At 39.2% G+C, this 23983-nt stretch overlaps 1 protein-coding gene across 18 annotated transcripts in view; it reads left to right on the forward strand.

Annotated features, from left to right (window-relative positions):
* Positions 1 to 23983, forward strand: part of SPECC1 (sperm antigen with calponin homology and coiled-coil domains 1) — a 309668-nt gene that overhangs the window by 9108 nt on the left and 276577 nt on the right. The window lies entirely within an intron of this gene.

The following is a 23983-nucleotide window of genomic DNA, read 5'->3' on the forward strand; positions in this document are numbered from 1 at the left end:
TGTAACTTTGAACTTTTGGGCTTAACTGGTCCTCCTGCCTCGGCCTCCCAAAGCGCTGAGATTACCGGCATGGGCCACCATGCCCAGTCCTTGGTCTTTTATAATTTATTTCTGTGTTGGGGGCCCCCAGGACCATGCTCAGATCTGGTGGTTCACTTGGAAGACTCAGCATGTGGTGTACTCACGGCTGTAATTTATTACAGTGAAAGGATACAAAGCACAATCAGCAAAGGGAAAGGTGCATGGGGCCAAGTCCAAAGGAAGCCAGGCACAAGCTTCCAAGCATCCTCTCCCAGTGCAGTCACACAGGATGTATGTGCTTAACTCCCCGAGGAAGGAGCTGTGACAACGCATGTGAAATGCTGTCTACCAGGGAAACTCACTAGAGACCCAACACCCAGGGTTTTTATTGGGGGCTGGTCATGCAGGCCCCCTTTGCCCAGCACATACCACATTCCACGCTACCTGAAGAAAAGCAGGAGTTCAGCATAAACCACACAATAATTTAGGCACAGTGAGTCCCTCTTTCCAGGTTGGATGGTGGGAACCCTTCTGAAATCTAAGTTCCCAGGTGCCAGCCAAGGATTAACCATGCTTTTTATGAGACTTTTTAAGAATAACAGTCTTGGGCCAAGCACAATGGCTCATGTCTATAATCCCAACACTGTGGGAGACCAAGGTGGGAGGATCTCTTGAAGCCAGGAATTTGAGACTAGCCTGGCCAATACAGAAGACCCTATCATTCATTTATTTATTTATTTATTTATTTATTTATTTATTTATTTATTTATTTATTTATTTTAAAAAGCAGTCTTAGGCCTGCTGTGTTAACTCTTTTCTGTAAGATTTTCCTCCTGTGTTCCTCAGAAAAAGATGGACACTTTACCTAGAAATGACTTCTCCCAGTCAGATGGTCATGAATTTTTTTGCCTTCTCTGAAGAGAGAACACATTTGTATTAAGGTGAAACTGAGTGGAGAACATTTCCTGATGTTGGAGAAAGCCATAGCATGGCACGTGCTCAGCAGCCTTGAGAGGGTGTCAGTGAGAGAGCACAGAGGGACTACTCAACCATTCAAAATTATTTTGAAAAGGCAAGGATCCTTTTGAACTTTATCTGCAAATTCCATGAGGTGAGAAGTTTAGCTCAATATAGCTGGAAAGTTGAGATTGGGTTCTGTGCTGATAGCAGGAATGACACGAAAGAGCTGAATAAAAAATCCACACATGGTCTTTAATTAGCCATATACAGATGGTAGTGGCCCATCATCCAGCTCAGAGATCTGCCACTTCTCTTCCAGCTTTCCCACGGAGCCACCCTGATCACCCCCATCCATGTTGGTCTTTCTTCCCCAAATGGCCATCAGCTCTGCTCACAGGGCCTTTCATCACTGGCTTCTTTGTCACTGGCTTCTTTTCCGTGGTTTTATTGGATAGTTTTTGTTGCCTCATTGTGTATAATCTTCCACAAGATTGGGAATTCCTTGAGGAATGAACAGTAAGTCATAGTTATATACCCCATGTCTCCCTGCAGGGTGACATGCATAGAGCTGGTGCCTATTAATGTTTTCGGAAAGAACCACTAGAAGGAAGTAAGAAGCAGCCTTTTCTTCATTCTAGTCACTGCTTCACATGCAGCTGATTTTTATTCTGTGTTGAGGGTGGTGATATAAAACACCACGCTGACATTACCTGTTTGAGTTGTCTGAGTTCTGTCTGCAGCAGATGGTGTAATTAAATGTTTTAGTTTGAAAGGCTTTTCAATTTCATTCAATCTGAGTGTGGGCTTAGATTGTCAAATCATCTTTTCTAACTCTAAAGGCTGTATCTAGTCAGCCTGGATCTAGTTTCCTCCCTTTCTCTGTTTTTTTATTTTTTTTATTTTTTTGAGACAGAGTCTTACTCTGTCACCCAGGCTGGAGTGCAATGGTGTGATCTCGGCTCCCTGCAACCTCCGCCTCCTGGGTTCAAGTGATTCTCCTGCCTCAGCCTCCAGAGTAGCTAACTACAGGCATGTGCCACCACACCTGGGTAATTCTTGTATTTTTTGTAGAGATGGGCTTTCACTGTGTTGGCCAGGCTGATCTCAAACTCCTAATCTTGTGATCCGCCCGCCTCAGCCTCCCAAAGTGCTGGGATTACAGGCGTGAGCCTCCACGCCTGGCCCTCCCTTTCCTTGGTTTTAGACCTCAGGTGTGAGGAATTGAATTAATTATATTCTCATTCTTAGCCCTTTATCATCACTGGCCCATGCAAGCCCCTCTGTTGTTTTGCTTGTTAATGCATTTGTTGGTTTATTTGTTCATTCCGTTTTATCCCACTCTCATTCTCTTCTCCCTATAGACAGCTATTCTAATGAGGTTCATATAATACTTTTGTGTATATACAGTTGACCCGTGAACAATGAGGGGGTCAGGGGAACTGATTGCCTGCACAGTTGAAAATCTGTGTATAACTTTTGACTCCCAAAACTTAACTACTGACAGCCTACTGTTGAGTGGAAGCCTTACCCATAATATAAACAGTCAATTAACATTTATTTTGCGTGTGATGTGTATTATGTACCATATTCTTAGAATAATGTAAGCTAGAGATAAAGAAAATCATAAGGAAGAGAAAATATACTTTTCATTAGTTCCTTGGAATTGGATTATCATAAAAGTCTTCATCCTTGTCATCTTCATGTTGAGTAGGCTGAGGGGGAGGAGGAAGAAGAGGGGTTGGTCTTGCTGTCTTGGGGGTAGCAGAAGTGGAAGAAAATCCACATGTAAGTGGACACAGGCAGTTCAAACCTGTGCTATTCAAGGGTCACGCGTATACTGCTTTGTGTGCATCTATTTTTAATTTACATGAATGGCATCATGTTCTAGCCTTTATTCTGTATCTTAGGATTGTCACTCACCACCCATCTCTGTTACTTGGTGATTCTGGTCTTAATATCCACCACATTTTGTCCATCTCGTCTCCTGTAGATGGACACCCAGGTTGATTCCCACTCCCAGTAATGCTGAATGAGCCTCGTACATGTCTCCTTATGGACTTGTGTGAGAATTCTTTGGGATTTAGACCCAGGAGTAGGACTGCCTGGTCGTGGTGTGTGCCTATACTTAATATAACCAAGTACTGCCAGATTGCTGTCAAGGGTGGCTGCACCACTACCTTCCCCAGCAGCACACAAGGATTCCCAAGGCTCTGATATATATATATATAATATAATAATATATATATATATATATATTTTTTTGTACTTTTAGTAGAGACCGGGTTTCACTGTGTCGGCCAGGATGGTCTTGATCTCTTGACCTCATGATCCGCCCGCCTTGGCCTCCCAAAGTGGTGGGATTACAGGCGTGAGCCACTGCACCCGGCCATCCCAAGGCCCTGATCTTTGCATGCGCTTGGCATCATTCAACTTTCTAGACTTTAGCAGTCTCTCTCTTTTTATTTATTTACTATTTATTATTATTATAATTATAATTATTATTATATTTTTTGAGATGGAGTTTCACTCAGTCGCCCAGGCTGGAGTGCAGTGGCATGGTCTCGGCTCACTGCAATCTCCGCCTCCTGGGTTCATGCCATTCTCCTGCCTCAACCTCCTGAGTAGCTGGGACTACTGGTGCCCACCACTACGCCTGGCTAATTTTTTGTGTTTTCAGTAGAGACGGGGTTTCACCATGTTAGCCAGGATGGTCTCGATCTCCTGACTTCATGATCCGCCCGCCTCGGCCTCCCAAAGTGCTGGGATTACAGGTGTGAGCCACTGTGCCCGGCAGCAGTTTCCCTCTTTTTATTTGCATCTGTCTGTTTACTACTGAATTTGAGAATGCTTTTATATATGCTTGTTATCTTTTTGAGTTTCCATTGACATAAGTTGCCTGTTCATGTCCTTTCCCCATGTTTCAACTGGAATCCAATATAGACTATTTTAGACATTAGCCCCTTGTTGATGTTTCGACAGTGCACATAGTTTCTCCTAATATGTTATACGTCAGCTTTTTGGTTGGTATCTGTGTTGGATAAGAATCCTTAATTCTATAACCTGAATAGTCAATCTGCCCCATGAACTTACTTAGTTTTACCTTTTGACATGTCTGTTGACAACATTTAGTAATCAAGATATTTCACATAAAAATCCAGATTCCTAGTCTCTCTTGAAAGGGTGAAAAGTATTTCAGTCCTGGCTAGAGTGACTGAGGGGTGAGCTCCTGCTGTTGCTAGGGCCTGGGCTGCCTACCCACCTGTCCTCACTCATTCTCTTGACCTCCTGGCCACTAGTGTCATTTGACTTTATGACCAGCCACTGCTGTATGTGAGGCAATACCTTAAGGATAAACAAGCATGGTGATGATGTTCCCAAGATTGCTTGGACATGGTTATGGAGTGGGTGGACTCGGCATTGAGAACACAGTAGTAGCTGCTGCATCTCATGACACTATTGGATGGGTGTCAGCATGGCAGCAGAATACTGACGGACTGTGTGCACATTCTTTCAGCAGTAATGATTCATTCTTTTCAACCTTTTCTGGATCGGCTCATTCCTTTTTGCCAAAAAAAACCAAACAAACCCAAAAAACTATGGTTTAGTGAAATTGCATATGAACAAGAGTTCTAAACGAGGGATCTGAAAACTTTTTCTGTGAAGAGCTATAGAGTAAATATTTTAGGCTTTGCAGGGCCGTGTGTTCCCTTGGAACTACTTAGCTCTGCTCCTGTAGTGTGAAAGCTGCTATAGGTTGTATGTAAATGAACATGGTCTCTTCATTTGGTCTGGATTTGGGCTGCAGACTGTAGTTTCTGATCCATGTTCTAAACCATAGTCTTAAGACTTAATTTTGTCTTCCTTCTCTTGTTTTTAAGGTGCAAGGTTATACATAACATTTTGCTAATGAATACATGGTAAGTACCTACTAGGTACTAGGTGCTGAGATTATAGTGATGGACAAGACACAAATCCAGTCTATTCAGCTTAATGTCTGGGTGGGGAGACAGATGAGGGAGCAGGCAATTACTAAAGAGGATGGCAGGCCAGGACACGGGAGAGCACACAATTGGGCAGCAGGGGTTGGGAGCAGGGCATGTCAGGTAAGACGTTCTAGAAGAAGGTGATGTCTAAATGAAGGGGGAAGAGGGCGAGGCAGGATAATGCAAAGGTCCTTTTGAACTTCATCTGCAAATTCCATGGGGTGAGAGTATAGCTGGAAAGCTGAGATTGGGTTCTGTGCTGATAGCAGGAATGACAAGAAAGACTCTGAATAAAAAATCCACACGTGGAATCGTGAATGCTTAAATAATCCAAGGTTGATGGTGGTAACTCCTATGCTATTCAAATGTGGCAGAAAATAAAAAAAAAAAACATGGAAAGCATCTCAGCTGATTTTACAAAGTTAAAATAACCCTGATAGAGAGCAGTATATGGATACTGGGGGTTGGAAATTTTAAAAAAATGAAAAAAAGAACAGTATAAGCCCGTAGATGTAAACTATAGACCAAATTTACGTGTGATGTGTATACAAATATCCTAAATAGCAAAAGGAGGTCAGCAGAATATTAAAAGAGCAATACACTTTGACGAAATATATTTTACTCTAGGAATTCCAGAATCGTTTGCTATTAGGACATATGTTAGTTTAATACAAGGGGAAAGTTTAGTAAGTTTCCATTTTATTTAATAAAATGGGGTAGCTATATAATCGTCTTGAGAGATTCTGGAAAAGCACTTAGAATTTGACTTCAAATCTTGTCATTTCTTGAAACGTTTTCATGCATTGTGCCTTCAGGTTGTACAGCGTGGCTGAGTTTACCACTTTTTAATTTCTCTGGCAAATCTTTGCTGATTATAGCTTTTCATTCATCACGTCCTTTGTGAATCCATTCTTGTTTACTCTATGCGGAATAAATTTTTCTCTTCTCTTCTAGTCCAGTAATTCTCCATTCTTTCATTTCAATTGGAGTTTTCAGTTTCTCTCAATTGCTTTCCTTTTTTGAGAGACAGATTAGGCACTGGAGATACAAAGATAAATAAGATAGTACTCAGGGTTTTTTCTCTTTATCCTCTGATTCATTTTCTACCCTTCCATATTTCTCTGTCTCAGAGGGAGATGATTCCTACAAACTTCATTTTGCAGTGTTCCTTGTCACTGTCTCTGGCCAAGTATGGCTAGTAGGAAGCACTAGTGGGAGATTGAAAGGTGGGAGGAAGGGAGAAGTCAGGGTTTTTCCCCCTTGTTTTCTGCTTTGCACAGTGTCTCTAGGGTGGTCCCAGCTCCAGCCAAGGACTCTGACACTGGCTTGTGGACTCTGATAATAGCCCCTCCTTTATCCTTCCAGCTTCATGGGTGGTAGGTAGATGGGGTCCCACTGTTGCTAATCTCTGGGTTGGCTCACCATCCCAACTGGCTTTTTAGTCCTGCCCTAAACCTTGTAATTAGTTCCCATATTAAATTCCTGCTATTGAACTGCTTCTCTTGAATTCTATTTTTCTTATTAAACTTTGCACAATGTAGATAAAAACCCTACTTCTGTGTGTTCACAATCTCATAGGAAAAGCGGACATTAAAATGACTATAAGTTTAGCCTAGTCAGTGTTCCCTCTTCCCTTCTTTTGGAAGTAGACTTCACTTTGTGCATAGCAATTGGCCATGACCCAGAATGAGCCAATCAAAATTTGGACATGGGCACACACAGAGAAAAGATGATGTGAAGACGCAGGGAGAAGATGGCCACCTGCCAGCCAAGGAGAGAGGCCTGGGACAGAGCCTTGCCTCAGGGCCCTCAGAAAGAACCAGCTCTGCTGACACCTTGATCTCAGAGTCCTAGTCTCCAGAACTGTGAGGAAATCAATTTCTATGTTTAAGCTCCCCAGTTTGTGGTACTTTGTTCCAGTAGTTCTGGGAAAGTAGTGTACTACCTGTCCTCCCAGCCCCACCCAACCACTAATCTACTTTCTGTCTCTATAGATTTCCCTATTCTGGTCATTTCCGATGCATGGAATCATAATCTGTGGTCATTTGTGACTGGCTTCTTTCACTTAGCATAAGGTTTCCGAGATTCATCCTTGTAGCATGTAGCTGGATGTCACTCCTTGTATGGGCAGATAATATTCTAGTGTATGGATAATACCGCATGTTATTTACCTGTTCATCAGATGATGGGCATATGGGTTCTTACCACCTTTGCTGTTATGAATAATGTTGCTATAAATGCCCATGTACAAGTTTTTATGTGGATATATGTTTTCATTTTTTTGGTTATAGACCCAGGAGGAATATTCCTGGGTCATACGGTAACTCTGTATTTAATAATTTGAGGAGCTGCCAGACTGTTTTCCAAAGTGGCTGCATCACTTTACATTCCCAACAGCAGCGAATGAGGTTTCTGATTTTTTCACATCCTTACCAACATTTGTTATTACCTTTTTATTCTAGCCATCCTAGTGCATATGAAGTGGTGTCTACATTCTACATTGTGGTTTTGATTTATATTTCCCTGATGACTAGTGATGTTGAGCATCTTTTCGTGTCTTTATTGGCCAATTGTATATAGTCTTTAGATAAGTGTATATTCAAGGCTTTTACCCATTTTTGAATTGGGTTGTTTTGTTGTTGTTCTTGAGTTGTAGGAGTTCTTTATATATTATAAATATTAAATATTTATCAGATATATATAATTTGCAGATATTTTATTTCTTCCATTATGTGGGTTGTCTTAATTTTCTTTTTTTTCCTTTTTTTGTTGACGTAATAATTATACATATTTATGAGGTACAGAGTGATAATTTGATACATGTATGCAATGTGTAATGATTGAATCAGGGTAATTAGGATATCCATCATCACAAACATTTATCATTCCTTTGTGCTGGGAACATCCAAAATCTCTTCTAGCTTTTTGAACATGTACAATAAGTTATTGGTAACTATACTCGCCCTACAGTTCTATAGAACACTAAAACTTATTCTTCTTACATAGCTGTAAATTTTTATCCATTAACTTTTCCCAAGCCTCCCCTTCTAATTCTGTGACCCCATTTTCTTTTTAGCACCCATGTCTGAGTGAGAACATGTACTGTTTATCTTTTTGTGCTTTACTTATTTCATTAAATATAATGTCCTCCAGGTTCATCCATGTTGCTGGGATGACAGGATTTCATTCTTCTTTAATGGCTGAATAGTATTCTATTGAGTGTATATGCCACATTTTCTTTATCCATTCATCTGTTGATGCACATTTAGATTTATTCCCTGTCTTGGCTGTTGTGAACAGTGTTGCAATTAACATGAGAGTGCATATATTTCTTCAGTATACTGACTTCTTTCCTTTGGATAAATACCCAGTAGTAGGGTTGCTGGATCATATGGTAGTTCTATTTTCAGTTTTTTGAAAAACCTCAGTATTATTTTCCATAATGGCCATTACCAATTTGCATCCCTACCCACAGTGTATAGGAGTTCCCCTTTCTCCAAATCTTTGCCAGCATCCATTATATTTTGTCTTTTTGATAGTAGCCATTCTAACTGGAGTGAGAGGATATCTCATAGTGGTCTTGATTTTTATTTCTCTGATGATTAGTGATGGTGAGCATTTTTTCATACTTGTTGGCTATTTTATACTTGCAAGGCTCCCAGAATAGCCAAAACAAACTTGAAAAACAAGAACAAAGTGTAGGATGACTCACACTTCCCAATTTAAAAATTTATACACTAACAAGTAATCAAGACAGTGTGGTACTGGCAGAATGATAGTGACATTTGTATGTCTTCCTTTGAGAATGTTTATTCAGATCTTTTGCCCATATAAAAACCAGATTATTTGCTTTTTTGCTGTTGAGTTGTTTTAGTCACTTGTGTGTTCTGGATACTAGTCCCTTGATGGATGGATAGTTTGCAAATATTTTCTCCCATTCTACAGGTTGTCTTTTCATTCTGTTGTTTCCTTTGCTGTGCAGGAGCTTTTTAGTTTAATAAAGTGCTATTTTTCCATTTTTGTTTTTGTTGCCTGTGTTTTTGAGGTTTTAGCCATAAGATCTTTGCCTGGACCAATGTCCTGAAGCGTTTTTCCTTATGTTTTCTACCAGTAGTTTTATAGTTTTGGGTCTTACATTCAAGTCTTTAATTCAGTCTGAGTTGATTTTTCTATATGGTGAGAGATAGGGGTCTAGTTTTATTCTTCTGCATATCGATATCCAGTTTTCCTAGTATCATTTATTGAAGGGGTGTCATTGTCAAAAATCAGTTGACTATAAATATGTGGATTTATTTTTGGGTTCTTTATTCTGTTCCATTGGTCTATGTGTCTGTTTTTCTACTAGTACCATGCTGTTTTGGTTACTGTTGCTTTGAAGTCAGGTAGTATGATGCCTCCAGCTTTGTTCTTTTTGCTTAATATTGCCTTGGCTATTTTGGCTTTCCATTTCTTGATGGTGTCCTTTCCAGCACAAAGGTTTTTCATTTTGGTAGGTACAATTTACCCTATTTTACCTTAGTTGGTCATGCTTTTGGTGTCATGTCTAAGAATTCTTTGTCAAACCTAACGTCTTTAAGATTTACCCGTATGTTTCCTTCTAAGAGTTTTACAGTCGTAACTCTTACGTTTAAGTCATCAATTCATTTTTGAATTAATTTTTGCATATGGTGTGATGGAGGGTCCAACTTCATTTTTTTTTTCATGTGACTATCTGATTATCCCAGACCTATTTGTTGAAAAGAATGGTCTTGTTGACCTTTTTGAAAATCATTTGGGCTGGATGTGGTGGCTGATGCCTATAATCGCAGCACTTTAGTGTGATGGAGGGTCCAACTTCATTTTTTTTTTCATGTGACTATCTGATCATCCCAGACCTATTTGTTGAAAAGAATGGTCTTGTTGACTTTTTTGAAAATCATCTGGGCTGGATGTGGTGGCTCATGCCAGTTATCCCAGCACTTTGGGAGGCCACAGTGGGAGGATTGCTTGAGCCCAGAAGTTGAAGACCAGCCTGGGCAACATGGTGAGATTCTATCTCTACAAAAAAGAAAAAAAAAAAGAAAAAAATAGAAAAGCACTTACCATAGATGTTTAGGCTTGTTTCTGTACTCTCAATTATATTCCATTGATATGTATGTATGTATGTGTCTTTTGCCAGTACCACACAGTCTTGATTACTGTTGCTGTGTCGTAACATTTGCAATTGGCAAGTGAGTCATCCTATATTTTGTTCGTGTTTTTCAAGTTTGTTTTGGCTATTCTCAAGGTCTTGCAATTCCATGTGAATTTTAGAATAATCTTTTCAATTTCAACAGTGAAGTCATCTGGGATTTTTTTTTTTTTTTTTTTGAGATGGAATTTTGCTCTTGTTGCCCAGGCTGGAGTGCAATGGCACGATCTTGGCTCACTGCAACCTCTGCCTCCTGGGTTCAAGCGATTCTCCTGCCTCAGCTTCCCGAGTAGCTGGGATTATAGGCATGTGCCACCACGCCTGACTAATTTTGTATTTTTAGAAGAGATAGGGTTTCTCCATGTTGGTCAGGCTGATCTCGAGCTCCCGACCTCAGGTAATCTGCGTGCCTCAGCCTCCCAAAGTGCTGGGATTACAGGCATGAACCGCCACCCCCAGCCTCATCTGGGATTTTGATAAGGATTTTGTTGAATTTATAGATCAATTTGGAGAGCATTGCCAGTAATAAGTCTTTTGATCCATGAACATGGGATAGTTTTTCATTTATGTAAACCTTTAATTTCTTTTAACAGTGTTTTGTAGCTTCTAGAGTATAAGTTTTGCACTTACTTGAATAAATTTATTTTTGAGTGTTTTTATTCTTTTTGATGTTATTGTAAATTGAATTATTTTCTTAATCTCATTTTTGGGTTGTTCACTGCAAGTGTATAGAAATATAATAGATTTTTGTATATTGGTTTTCTATCCTGCAGCCTTGCTGAACTTGTTTATCAGTTATCATAGTGTCTTAGTAGTTCCCTTAGGATTTTCTAAAGATCGTATCGCCTGTAAATAGAGATCTGTTCTTTTTTTTGGAGGAGTTTGTGAAGAACTGATGTTAATTTATATTTATAAGTTTGAAAGAATTTCACAGTGAAATCTTCTGGGCCTGGGATTTTCTTTGTGGATAGTTTCTTGGTTGTCAATTCAGTCTCTTCCCTTGTTATAGCTCATTCAAATTGTCTCTTTCTTCTTGAGTAAATTTTGGTAGTTGATGTTGTCCTAGGAACCTGTCCATTTCATCTAAGTTTTCTAATTTGTTGGCACACATTTGTTCGTAGTATTCTTTTCTAATCCCTCATTAGTAATGTCCCCTCTTTTATTTCTGATTCTAGTAATTTGAGTCTTACCTCCTTTTTGTCAGTCTAGTTAAAAGGTTTGTTAACTTGGTTGATCTTTTCAAAGAACTAGCTTTTGGTTTTATTTATTTTTTTCCATTTTTCTCCTTTTGATTTCATTATTTTTTGCCATAATCTTTATTATTTTCTTCTTTCTGGTTGCTAGGAATGATATAGCTACAAGCCAAGGAGCACTTAGGGTTACTGAGAACCACTGGAAGCTGGAAGAGACAAGGGAGGATTCTTTCCTAGAGCCTTCACAGGGAGCATGGCCCTGTACTCACCTTGATTGCAGGTGTTTAGCCTCCAGAACTGGGAGAAAATACATTTAAGTTGTGTTAAGCCACTCAATTTGTGGTAGTTTGTTACTGTACCCTGAGGAAACTAATACAAACATTTTAATTATTTTATTTATTTTTTTACTGTATTTATGTGAGTTACTTTTTAGTATCTAGGGTTTAACATGTGTGTCTTAACTTACCAGAATATACTTCATATTTATAATTTAATTCTAGTTAGATACCAAAATGTTATTCCTATGTAGTTCTATTGTCTTCTTCCCTTTTTGTGGTATTTTTGTATTATGTCTATTAATATTACAAACCCAACCATATTATTGTTGTAATTATTATTTTTAAATTTTTTAAAATTTTATTTTTAAGTTCCCTGTTATATTACTTTACTATCTGTAGTAATTTCTTTAGCCTAGTAACAGCTTTGTTCCAACTCTCTTTTGTGCAGTTATTTGCAAATATATTACAAGTATATTTCTATATATGTTATAGGTTCAACAATAGGCTTTATATATAATATTTTATGCAATTGCTTTTTAAATCATTTCAGAGAAGAAAGGAAAAAATATGCATTGTTAGTGTCATAGTTACAGAATAACCTTTACTGCTATGCTTCAATTTTCTGTGAGAATTCAGATTACCCTCTGGGGTCACTTGTTTTCAGCCTGAAGAACTTCCTGTGGTGTTTCTTCTAAGGCAACAAATTCTCTACTTTTGTTTCTCTGGGATGTCTTTATTTCACCTTCATTTCCTGCCCCCCAGCCCTTTTTTTTGTGGTAAGATACATATAAAATTTACCATTTTAATCATTAAACATTTTTTGAAAAGTTTTGTGCTCTCATGAGCCTTGGTCCTGCACATCTTTCTCCTCCTCAGCAGCAATCTCGTTTCCTGCTTAATTATTTTTTGGTTTTGCTTTTTGTTTTTGTTTTTGTTTTTTCGAGACAGAATCTTGCTCTGTCGCCCAGGCTGGAATTCAGTGGCGCGATCTCGACTCACTGCAATCTCTGCCTCCTGGGTTCAAGCAATTCTCGTGTCTCAGTCTCACCAGTAGCTGGGATTATAAGTATATGCCACCATGCCTGGCTAATTTTTGTATTTTTAGCAGAGACAGGGTTTTGCCATGTTGGCCAGGCTGGTCTCAAACTCCTGGTCTCAAGTGATCGCCTGCCTCGGCCTCCCAAAGTGCTGGCATTATAGGTGTGAGCCACCGTGCCTGGCCTCCTGCTTAATCATTTTTAAATTTTTTTTATTTTTTATTTTTTGAGACGGAGTTTTGCTCTTATTGCCCAGGCTAGAGTGCGGTGGCGCAATCTCAGCTCACTGCAACCTCCGCCTTCTGGTTTCAAGCAATTCTGCTGCCTCAGCCTCCCAAGTAGCTGGGATTACAGGTGCCCGCCACCACACCCAGCTAATTTTTTTGTATTTTTAGTAGAGACGGGGTTTCACCATGTTAATCATTTTTAAGTATACTGTTCAGTAGTATAAAGTATATTTGTATTGTTGTACCACCCTCACCACCATCTGTCTCCAGAACTCTTTTTATCTTGCAAAACTGAAATTCTGTACCCATTCAACAATAACTCCACGTTACTCCCTCCCTCAGCCCTTGGCAACCACTGTTTTACTTTCTATCTCTGAATTTGACTACCCTAGGTATTTCATACAAGTGAAGTAATATGGTATTTGTCCTTTTGTGGCTGGCTTATTTCACTTAGCATAGTGTTCTCAAGGTTTAGCCATGTTGTAGCATGTGTCAGAATTTCATTCCTTTTTAATACTGAATAAATTCCATTGTGTATACATATACCACATTTTATTTATTTGTCGATGGACCCTTGGGTTGCTTCTACCTTTTGGCTATTGTGAATAATGCTGCTATGAACATGGATGTACAAATAACTCTTCAAGACCCTGGTTTCAATCCTTTTGGATGTATATTTTTGAAAGACAGCTTTGTCGTATATAGGAATCTTTATTTTTTTTCTTTGAGCACTTCAAATATGTTATCATTCATTGTTTCTGATGAGAGGTCAACTGTTTCTATTATTGTGGTTCTTTTATAAGTGATGTTCTTTTGTAAGTGAGGTTCTCTTATAAGTTTTCCTCTAGCTGCTTTCAATATTTTCTCTGTTTTTGACTTACAGCATTTTTACCATGGTGTATCTGTTTGTGGTTCTTTTTGTATTTATCCTACTTGGAATTCATTGAGTTTCTTGATTGTATAGGTTATTGCTTTAAAACAAAAATCTAGGAAGTTACTGGCCATCATTTGAATATTTTTTCTTCCTCTTTCTCATCTGCTTCCGGTACTCTCAGTATGCATATGTTAATGTGATTAATGGTGTGCCACATTTTGCTGAGATTCTGTTTATTTTTCTTCATTCTTTTTTCTTTTTATTTTTCATTTGAATAATGTCTATTGAAGTATATTTGTCTCACTAAATTTTTCTTCTGCCAGTTCAAATATAGTGTTGAACCTTCTCTAGTGAATTTTAAATTTTAGTTATTCTACCTTTCAACTCCGGAATTTCCATTGTATTATATTTTATAATTTCTATGCCTTTATTGATATTCTCTATTTGGAGTAATATTGTTATGATACTTTCCTTTCCTTTTTTAATCACGCTTTTCTTTAATTCTGTGGACATATTTATAATGGTTACTCCAAAGTCTTTTTCTGTTAAATCTGATAACTGTTTGCTCTCACTTGCAGTTTCCCTTGTCTACTTCCCCCGTGATACCCCATCCTATCATAACCACAGAAAGTATGGTTCATACTTCCTTGTTTCTTTTCATGCTTCATATATATATGTGTGTCTGTATATATGTATATATGTGTATGTGTATATACACACACGCGCGCACACACACACACACACATATATATATGTATATTTTTTTTTTTTTTGAGGTGGAGTCTCACTTTGTTGCCCAGGCTGGAGTTCAGTGGCGTGATCTCGGCTCACTGCAACCTCTGCCTCCTGGGTTCAAGTGATTCCCTGCCTCAGCCTCCCGAGTAGCTGGGATTACAGGCATCCACCACCATGCCTGGCTAATTTTTGTATTTTTAGTAGAGACGGGGTTTTGCCATATTGGCCAGGCTGGTCTCGAACTCCTGACCTAGGGTGATCTGCCCGCCTCAGCATCCCAAAGTGCTGGGATTACAGACATAAGCTACCATGTCCGGCCTGTATATATATATTTTTTGGTTGGAAACTGGACTTTTCAGATACTGTATTGTAGGAACTCTGGGTATTGGCTTCCCACTTCTGGAGCCTCTTGTTCTTATTTGTTTAGTGACTGCATAGATTATTTTAATGAAGTTGATTTCCCCCTGTCTTGGTTCATTTGTCTTGCTATAAAGGAATACCTGAGGCTGGATAATTTATAAAGAAAAAAGGTTTATTGGGCTCATGGTTTTGTAGGCTGTACAAGAAGCATGGCATCACTATCTGCTTCTGGCGAGGGCTTCAGGCTGCTTCCACTCATTGCATAAAGGGAAGGGGAACCAGTGAGATCACATGGTGAGAGAGGAAGCGAGAGATGGGGGAAAGTGCCAGGCTGTTTTTAATAACCAGTTGTTGTGGGAACTAAGAGTAAGAACTCACTCATTCCTGCAAGAATGGCACCAAACCATTCAGGAGGGATATGCCACCCCCATGACTCAGACACCTTCCAATAAGGCCCCACCTCCAGTACTGGGGAACAAATTTCAACATGAGACTCGGTGGGGCCAAACAAACCATATCCAAACCATTAACACCCTAACAGGGTTAAACCCCTTATGTTGCTCCTCAAGGAGGTACAGCTTTGGGTGTGCTTATTGTCAGCCTCAAATGACAGTGATATTGATAGGGCTCTCTTCCTAAACAGTTAGCAAATTTAACAGCTGTTGAACTCCACTAATTGTTAGCTGGTTGCTCTATTTAACAATGCCATGGAGCATAAAAATTGCTCTAAATACTAATACAATTAAATTCTGGCTCCTTTAAATAGTTTCTAAAGTAAGCGTTTGATATTCTTTTTTTTTTTTTTCTTTTGAGACGGAGTCTCGCTCTGTCACCCAAGGCTGGAGTGCAGTGGCACAATCTCGGCTCACTGCAACTTCCACCTCCCAGGTTCAAGTGATTCTCCTGCCTCAGCCTCCTCAGTAGCTGGGATTACAGGCATGCACCATGACACCCGGCTAATTTTTTATATTTTTGGTAGAGACGGGGTTTCACCATGTTGGCCAGGCTGGTCTCGAACTCCTGACCGTGTGATCCACCTGCCCCGGCCTCCCAAAGTGCTGGGATTACAGGTGTGAGCCACTGCGTCAGGTCTTTCCCCCAATTTTTTACTAAAAAAATGTCAAACCTACAGAAAAGTTGAAAGAATAATACAGTGAATTCCCATATACCTTTCATCTAGTTGACCAAAGTGCTGGAATTACAGGCATGAGCCACCACGACTGGCCTTATAGATCTTAGTTTGGCATCAAGTGTAAGAATTCTTTACCTCGCCTTACATCCCAAAGATTTTCTATTTTTCCTTTTTTTTTTTTTTTTTGAGTTGGAGTTTTGCTCTTGTTGCCCAGGCTGGAGTGCAATGGTGTGATCTTGGCTCACCGCAACCTCTGCCCCCCGGGTTCAAGCGATTCTCATGCCTCAGCCTCCCAAGTAGCTGGGATTACAGGCATGTGCCACCACGTCCAGCTAATTTTGTATTTTTAGTAGAGATGGGGCTTCTCCATGTTGATCCGGCTGGTCTCAAACTCCTGACCTTAGGTGATCCACCTGCCTTGGCCTCCCAAAGTGCTGGGATTACGAGCGTGAGCCACCGTGCGTGGCCTTTTTCTAAATGTTTTATAGATGTATATCTTATGTTTAGTCCTTGAGTCATTTTGAGTTAATTTTTCTGTAGGGTGTGAGGTTCAGGTTCATCTTTTTGCCTATAGATGTGCAATGACTCTACACCCTTTAATGAGAGACATATCTTCCCCCGTTGAAGTGTTTTAACACCTTTGTCAGAAATCATTTGGGCATATTTGTGTGTGCTTCTTTCTTAGTTCTCTATTTGGTTGCATTGATCTATAGCTGTCCCTCTGTCAATATCACAGTCTTGATTACTGTAGCTATGTAAGTCTTGAAACTGGATAGACTGATTCTTCCCACTTTATTTTTCTTTTTCAAATTTGTTTTAGCTACTCTAGTTCCTTTGCATATTTCCGTATACATTTTTGTATGATCTTGTCTATATCTATGTAAAATTTTTCTGGGATTTTGGTAGTAATAATGTTATCCTGTGTAATAATTTGGATAAAATTGGCATCTTTACTATATTAAGTTTTCCAACCTATAAGCATGGTATATTTCACGCTATTTAAGTCTTCTTTGATTTCTTTTATCAGCGTTTTGTAGTTTTCAGCACACAAGTCCTGCACATTTTGTTAGATTTATATGTAAGTATTTCATTTTTTTCAGGCAATTAAAAACAGTATTTATTATGTTTTTAATTTTAGTACCCATGTGCTTATTGCTAGTACATAGAGATACAATTTTTTTTTTTTTAAATAGAGATGTGGTCTCATTATGCTGCTCAGGCTGGAGCACAGCAGCTATTCACAGGCACAATCATTGTGCATTACAGCCTCAAACTACTGACCTAAAACAATCCTCCTTTGTCCAGCTCAATTGATTTTTGTATGTTCATCATATATCCTGAATCCTAAAGACTTACTGAATTCACTTAGTAGTTTTAGTGTTTTTAAAATTAGGTTATTTTGCTTTTTTTTTTTGAGACGGAGTCTCGTTCTCTCACCCAGGCTGGAGTGCGGTGGCTCAACACTGCAACCTCTGCCTCCGGGTTCAAGTGATTCTCCTGCCTCAGCCTCCTGAGTAGCTGAGACTACACATGCCTGGCTAATTTATATATTTTTTAGTAGAGATGGGGTTTCACCATGTTGGTCAGGCTGGTCTCAAACTCCTGACCTTGTGATCTGCCTGCCTCGGCCTCCCAAAGTGGTGGGATTACAGGCATGAGCCACTGCGCTTGGCTGCTTTGCATTTAAGAAAAGTCATGCTTTATTTTATTTTTTTTGAGATGGAGTCTCACTCTGTCACCAGGCTGGAATGCAGTGGCACCCAGCTCACTGCAACCTCTGCCTCCCTTGTTCAAGCAATTCTCGTGCCTCAGCCTCCCAAGTAGCTGGGTCTACAGGTGCACGCCACCACATCCTGCTAATTTTTGTATTATTAGTGGAGACGGGATTTCACTATGTTGACCATTCTGGTCTCAAACTCCCGACCTCAAGTTTTCTGCTCGCCTCAGCCTCCTAAAATGCTGGGATTACAGGTATGAGCCACTGTGCCTGGCCAAAATCATGTGTTTTTAAACTGACAGATAAAATTGTGTGTATTTATCATGTACAACATGATGTTTTGGAGTAATATACGTTGTGCTAATTAACGTATGCATTACTTCACATAGTTATCATTTTTGTGGTGAGAACGCTTAACACCCACTCTTTTAGTATTTTCAAGAATACAATATATTAAGTATAGTTACCATGTTGTGCAATAGGTATCTTGAACTTACTCCTCCTAACTGAAATTTGGTATCCTTTGACCAGCGTGTCTCCACTGCCCCCCTACCCCTAGTTGCTTTACATTTTCTATGAGACAATCATGTCATCTGCAAACAGGAACAGTTTTATTTCTTCTTTGCCAATCTGCAGGTCTTTCATTTCCCTTTCTTATCGTTTTGCACAAGTTAGAACTTCAGGGCTATGTTAAATAAGAGCAATGAGAGTGAACATCCTTGCTTTGTTCCTGATCGTAGGGGAAAGCATTTAGTTTTTCACCATTAAGTATAGGTTAGCTGTAAGCTTTTGTAGTCTTTTGTAAGCTTTATCAAGTCAAGGAATTTCCCCTTTATTCTTATTTTTCTTATTAGAGTATCATGAATGGATATTGGATTTTGGCAAATGCTTTTTTCTGCATTGATTGATGTGATTATGTAGTTTTCCTCTTTAGTACGTTCATATAGTGGGTTACCTTGTTTTCAAATGTTGAACCAGACTTGCGTTTCTGGAATAAGTCCCACTTGATCATGGTGTATAATTATTTTTATATATTGCTTCTACTTGCTAATATTTTGTTAAGGAGTTTAAGGAGTTTTGTGTCTATACTCATGAAGGATATTGGTCTGCAGTTTATTTTTGTTTTTTTTTCCTTTTTATTTTCCCCACCACCCTGCCTGGCTAATTTTTGTATTTTAGTAGAGACAGGGTTTTACCATGTTGGCCAGGCTAGTCTCAAACTCCTGACCTCAGGTGATCCACCAGCGTCAGCCTCCCAAAGTGCTGAGATTACAGGTGTGAGCCACTGCACCTGGCCCAGTTTTCTTTTTTTATACTGCCCTTGTCCAGTGCTTCTTTTTTTTTTTTTTCTGACTGTTCCTGCAGAGCAGAGCTACCCATAGGCAGTGTGTCAAGAGTAGCTGTCCTTATACAGTTCTAGTATCAGAGTAACACCCACTTCATAAAATGAACTGGGAGATGTTCCCTTCTCTTCAGTTTTCTCAAAGATGCTATGTAGAGTTGGTGGTAATTCTTCATTAAACATTTGGTAGAATTCTTCAGTGAAACCATCTGGGCCCAGATATTTGCTTCTTGAGAGTTAAAAACATTTTTTAAATCCTTATTCTTCAAACAAAGTTCTATTTTTCTGAAGATATTTTTCACAGTACATACATCTCTTTAGCTGCAAAATAATTTGTCGTTTTTATTTGTTAAGGAAGGGTATAATTACCTTATCTAATATTTATAAAATATTAAGTTTAATGTTTCTGTTTTAAGAGTGTTAAAATTACAAATTCAATTTTCTCAGTAGTTATCAGGCTATCCCAATTATCTATTTCATATTGGGTGAGTTGTGGTAATTTGTGTTTTTTCAGTAATTAGTCCATTTCATCTACATTGTCAAATTTATAATGTGTAGAGTTGTTTCTAATTATGCTTTCATTCTAATAACTGGTAATCCGTGTCTTCTTTCTTTTTTGTTTGTTAGCCTTGCTAGAGGTTTGTCAATTTTATTAATCTTTCGAAGAATCAGTACTTTGTTTCACTGATTTTCTTTATTGTGTTTCTGTTTTCAATTTTACTGATTTATTTTTATATTTTCTTTCTTTTGCTTGCTTTGGGTTTATTTTGCTCTTCATCTTCTGTGTTCTTGAGATGGGAGTGGAGACTATTGATTTGAAACTTTTTCTCTTTTCTAATGTAAACATTTAGTGTTATAAATTTCCCTCTCAGCATTGCTTTAACTATGTCCCACAAATTTTGATATTCTTTTTTTTTTTTTTTTTTTTGAGGCAGTCTCTGTCGCCCAGGCTGGCGTGCAGTGGCACAATCTTGGCTCACTGCAACCTCTGCTGCCTGTGTTCAAGCGATTCTCCTACCTCAGCCTCCCAAGTAGCTGGGACCACAGGCTCCCGCCACTGCGCTTGGCTACTTTTTGTAGTTTTTTAGTTGAGACGGGGTTTCACCATCTTGGCCAGGCTGGTCTCGAACTCCTGATCTTGTGATCCACCAGCCTCGGCCTCCCAAAGTGCTGGGATCACAGGCGTGAGCCACCGCACCCAGCCATATTCATTTTTAGTCAGTTTATTTCCCTTAAGAAATTTTTAAAAATACATTAAACAATAAAAATGAATATCAGAAATGAATATCTTTGACCCACGGATGATTTTAGAAATGTGCTGTCCAGTTTTCAAGTATTTGGAGGCTTTTCTCGTTATCCTCCAGTTACCTCTTTCTAGTTTGATTCCAGTAGAGCACACTCTGTATGACTTCTATTCTTTGAAATGTGTTAAGTTTTTAAAAAGCGTTAGATATAATCCACATACCATATGTTTCACCCACTTAAAACGTACAATTCAATGGCCTTTTTTATATTTGTAGAGTTGCGCCAACATCACCACAATCAATTTTGGAACATTTTCATTATCCCAAAAAGAAATCCTACACTCTTTAACTGTCACCTTCTCCCTCCCCATGCAGCTCTTCCACTGTCCATCCAAGCCTTCGGCAATCACTAGTGAGCTTTGTTTTATGGCCCAGGGTAGGGTCTAAGGATATGTTCAGTGAATACTTGAAAAGAATGTTTATTTTGCTATTGTTGGGTAGAGTGTTCCGTAAATGTCTATTAGATCCTGTTGTTCAGTGGTGTTAAGTTCTTCTCAACTCCATGCTGATTTTTTTGTCTAGTTGTTCTATCAGTTGTTAAGAGAGGGTGTTGAATCTCCAAGCAGAATGATTGATTTGCCTGCTTTTCTTTCAGGATCTTTTCTTGATCCTTTTATTCCTGTCTCTTGAAATTTTCTTTTCTCTGAAGTCTATTTTATGTTATTAATATAGCCACTCCTTTCTTTTGATTAATGTTTTCATGATATATTTTATTCTTTTAATTTCAACCAACATATGTTGGTATATTTAAAGCAGGTTTCTTTTTTGTTTTTCAACTGAGGTGGAGTCTCACTCTGTCGTTCAGGCTGGAGTGGCGCAATCTTGGCCCACTGCTACCTCTGCTGCCCGGGTTCAAGCAGTTCTTGTGTCGCAGCCTCCTGAGTAGTTGGGACTACAGGCGTGTGCCACCATGCCTGGCTAATTTTTTTGTATTTTTAGTAGAGATGGGGTATTACCATGTTGTCCAGGCTGGTCTGGAACTCCTGACCTCAGGTGATCCACCCGCCTTGGCCTCCCGAAGTGCTGGGATTACAAGTGTGAGTCACTGCACTCAGCCCAAAGCAGGTTTCTTATAGCTATGTTTTTAAATTAACTCTGCTATCTCTGTCTTTTAATTGATATAATTAGATCATTTACATTTATGTAATTATTGATAAGTTAGGGCTTAAGTCTACCATTTTATTTATGTTTTTAAAAAATTTAGTTTGTCCTCCTCTTTTTTTCTCTTTTTGTCTTGTCTTCCTGTAGAGTATTTGAATATTTTTTAGAATTCCATTTCAATTTATCTAAATTGTTTTTGGTTATTATCTCTTTGTATAGTGTTGTTAGTGGTTGCTGTATTACATTATATGTATATATATATATACACACACATATACACACATATATTTATATATACTTACGTGTGTGTGTGTATGTAACTTTTCACAGTGTTGTCATTTTACCACTTCAATGAGGTATAGAAACCTATACTTTCCCCATTTATAATTCTCTGCATACATTTAGTAGAAGCACTTCAGACAGGGTTATAATTTTTGCTTCAACCATCAATATAATTTAGAAGTCTTAAGAGGAGATAGAAATTTTATTGTAATTACATGTATTTTTGCTTACTATGTTATTTCTTTCTTCTTGATGTTTCTGGATTCCTTCTTTCATCATTTTTTGGTCTGTTGCATGATCTTCCTTTTGCCATTCCTTTAGGGGAGATCTGCTGGCAACATATTCTCTTATTTTGCTTTATCTGAGACTGTCTTGATTTCCCATTGATTCTTGAAGGATATTTTTACTGAATCTAGAATTTTGTGTTGACACTTCTTTTCTTTCAGCACTTGAAAACCATTGTGTCATTTCCTTCTGGCTTCCTTAATTTCTGTAAGAAATCTGTTACTTGAATTGTTTTTCCCTTATACATGAAGTGTTGTTTCACTCACTGCTTTCAAGACGTTTTCTCTTTTCGTCTTTTCAGAAGTTTGACTATGATGTATTTTGGTGTGGATTTTATTGGGCTTTTTATTTGGGGTTCAGCATTTCGAATCTATAGGTTTATGTCTCTTGCCAAATTTGGGAAGTTTTCAGCTATTATTTTTTGAATACGTTTCCAGCTGTGCCATCTTTGTCTCTTTCCTGGACCCTGATGACAAGTGTTAGATCTTTTATTTTAGTCTCAGAGGTCTTTGAGACTTTCTCCCTCACTCCTTCCCTCCCTCCTTCCCTTCCTTCCTTCCTTTCTCTTTTTCCATCATTCCTCCTGCTGCTCCTCTTTTTTCTTCTTTATTTTTTGGCCAGTCTATTTTCTTTCTGTTCTTCATATTGGGTAATTTCTATTATTTTCTGTTGAAGTTCACTGATTATTTTGTCTGCCCCCTCCATTCTATGTTGTCTTTCCATTCAATTTGGTTACTGTATTTTTCAATTCTAAAATTTCCATTAAAATATGTATCTATTTTTTTGAGATGGAGTTTTGCTCTTGTTGCCCAGGCTGGAGTGCAATGTGCAATGGCGGGATCTCGGCTCACCGCAACCTCCACCTCCTGAGTTCAAGCGATTCTCCTGCCTCGGCCTCCTGAGTAGCTAGGATTACAGGCATGTGCCACCATGACTGGCTAATTTTGTATTTTTAGTAGAGACGGGGTTTCTCCATGTTGGTCAGGCTGGTCTCAAACTCCTGACCTCAGGTGATCCGCCTGCCTCAGCCTCCCAAAGTGCAGGGATTACAGGCTGTGAGCCACTGCACCTGGCCAAAATATATATCTTTTATTTCTTTGCCAAGATTTTTTTTTCATTTGTTTCAAGCACGTTTGTAGTTGTTTGTTGAGGCTTTTTTTTTTTTTTTTTTTTTTTTTGGGACGAAGTCTTGCTCTGTTGCCCAGGCTGGAGTGCGGTGGTGCGATCTCGGCTCACTGCTCCTCTTCCCAGGTTCATGCCATTCTCCTGCCTCAGGCTCCCGAGTAGCTGGGACTACAGGTGCCCACCACCATGCCTTGCTATTTTTTTTTGTATTTTTAGTAGAGACGGGGTTTCACCGTGTTAGCCAGGATGGTCTCGATCTCCTGATCTTGTGATCCACCTGCCTCGGCCTCCCAAAGTGCTGGGGTTACAGGCGTGAGCCACCGCGCCCAGCCTGTTGAGGCTTATGATATGTGCTTTAACATCCTTTCAGGTAGTTCTAATATCTGTGCTCTCTTAGTGCTAGTGTCTGTCAATTGTCTTTTCTCTCTTTCAGTTTGGGATCTTCCTGACTCTTGGTATAAATGATCCTCAATGAAAACTTCAACGATTTGGGTATTACGTTATCAGACTCTAGACCTTATTTAAACCTGTTTTGAACACCATTGTAGTAGAAGAAGGGGGACATCAGCTTGTTACTTCTAGATGGGGGTAAATATCCAGGCTTTCCGCTCTGCTTCCATTGACACCCAATGGGGTGGGGGACCCCTGTTGCTGCTGGGTGGTTGTGGGTATTCTGGTTCCCTACTTGGCCTCCCTGATACCTCCCTGGCTAGGAGGGGTAGGAGTGCCTACTGCTTGCCACAGTGCTTTCACTGTCACCATGGGGGAAGAGGGAGGAAAGGTGGCCTCATTATCTCTGGGAAAAGGTTAAGTCACTGAATCTCCACTAGGCCTCCTCTGACATGACCCCAGCAGGG

This window comes from Homo sapiens, chromosome 17 (assembly GCF_000001405.40).
Source record: "Homo sapiens chromosome 17, GRCh38.p14 Primary Assembly".
NCBI lineage: Eukaryota > Metazoa > Chordata > Mammalia > Primates > Hominidae > Homo > Homo sapiens.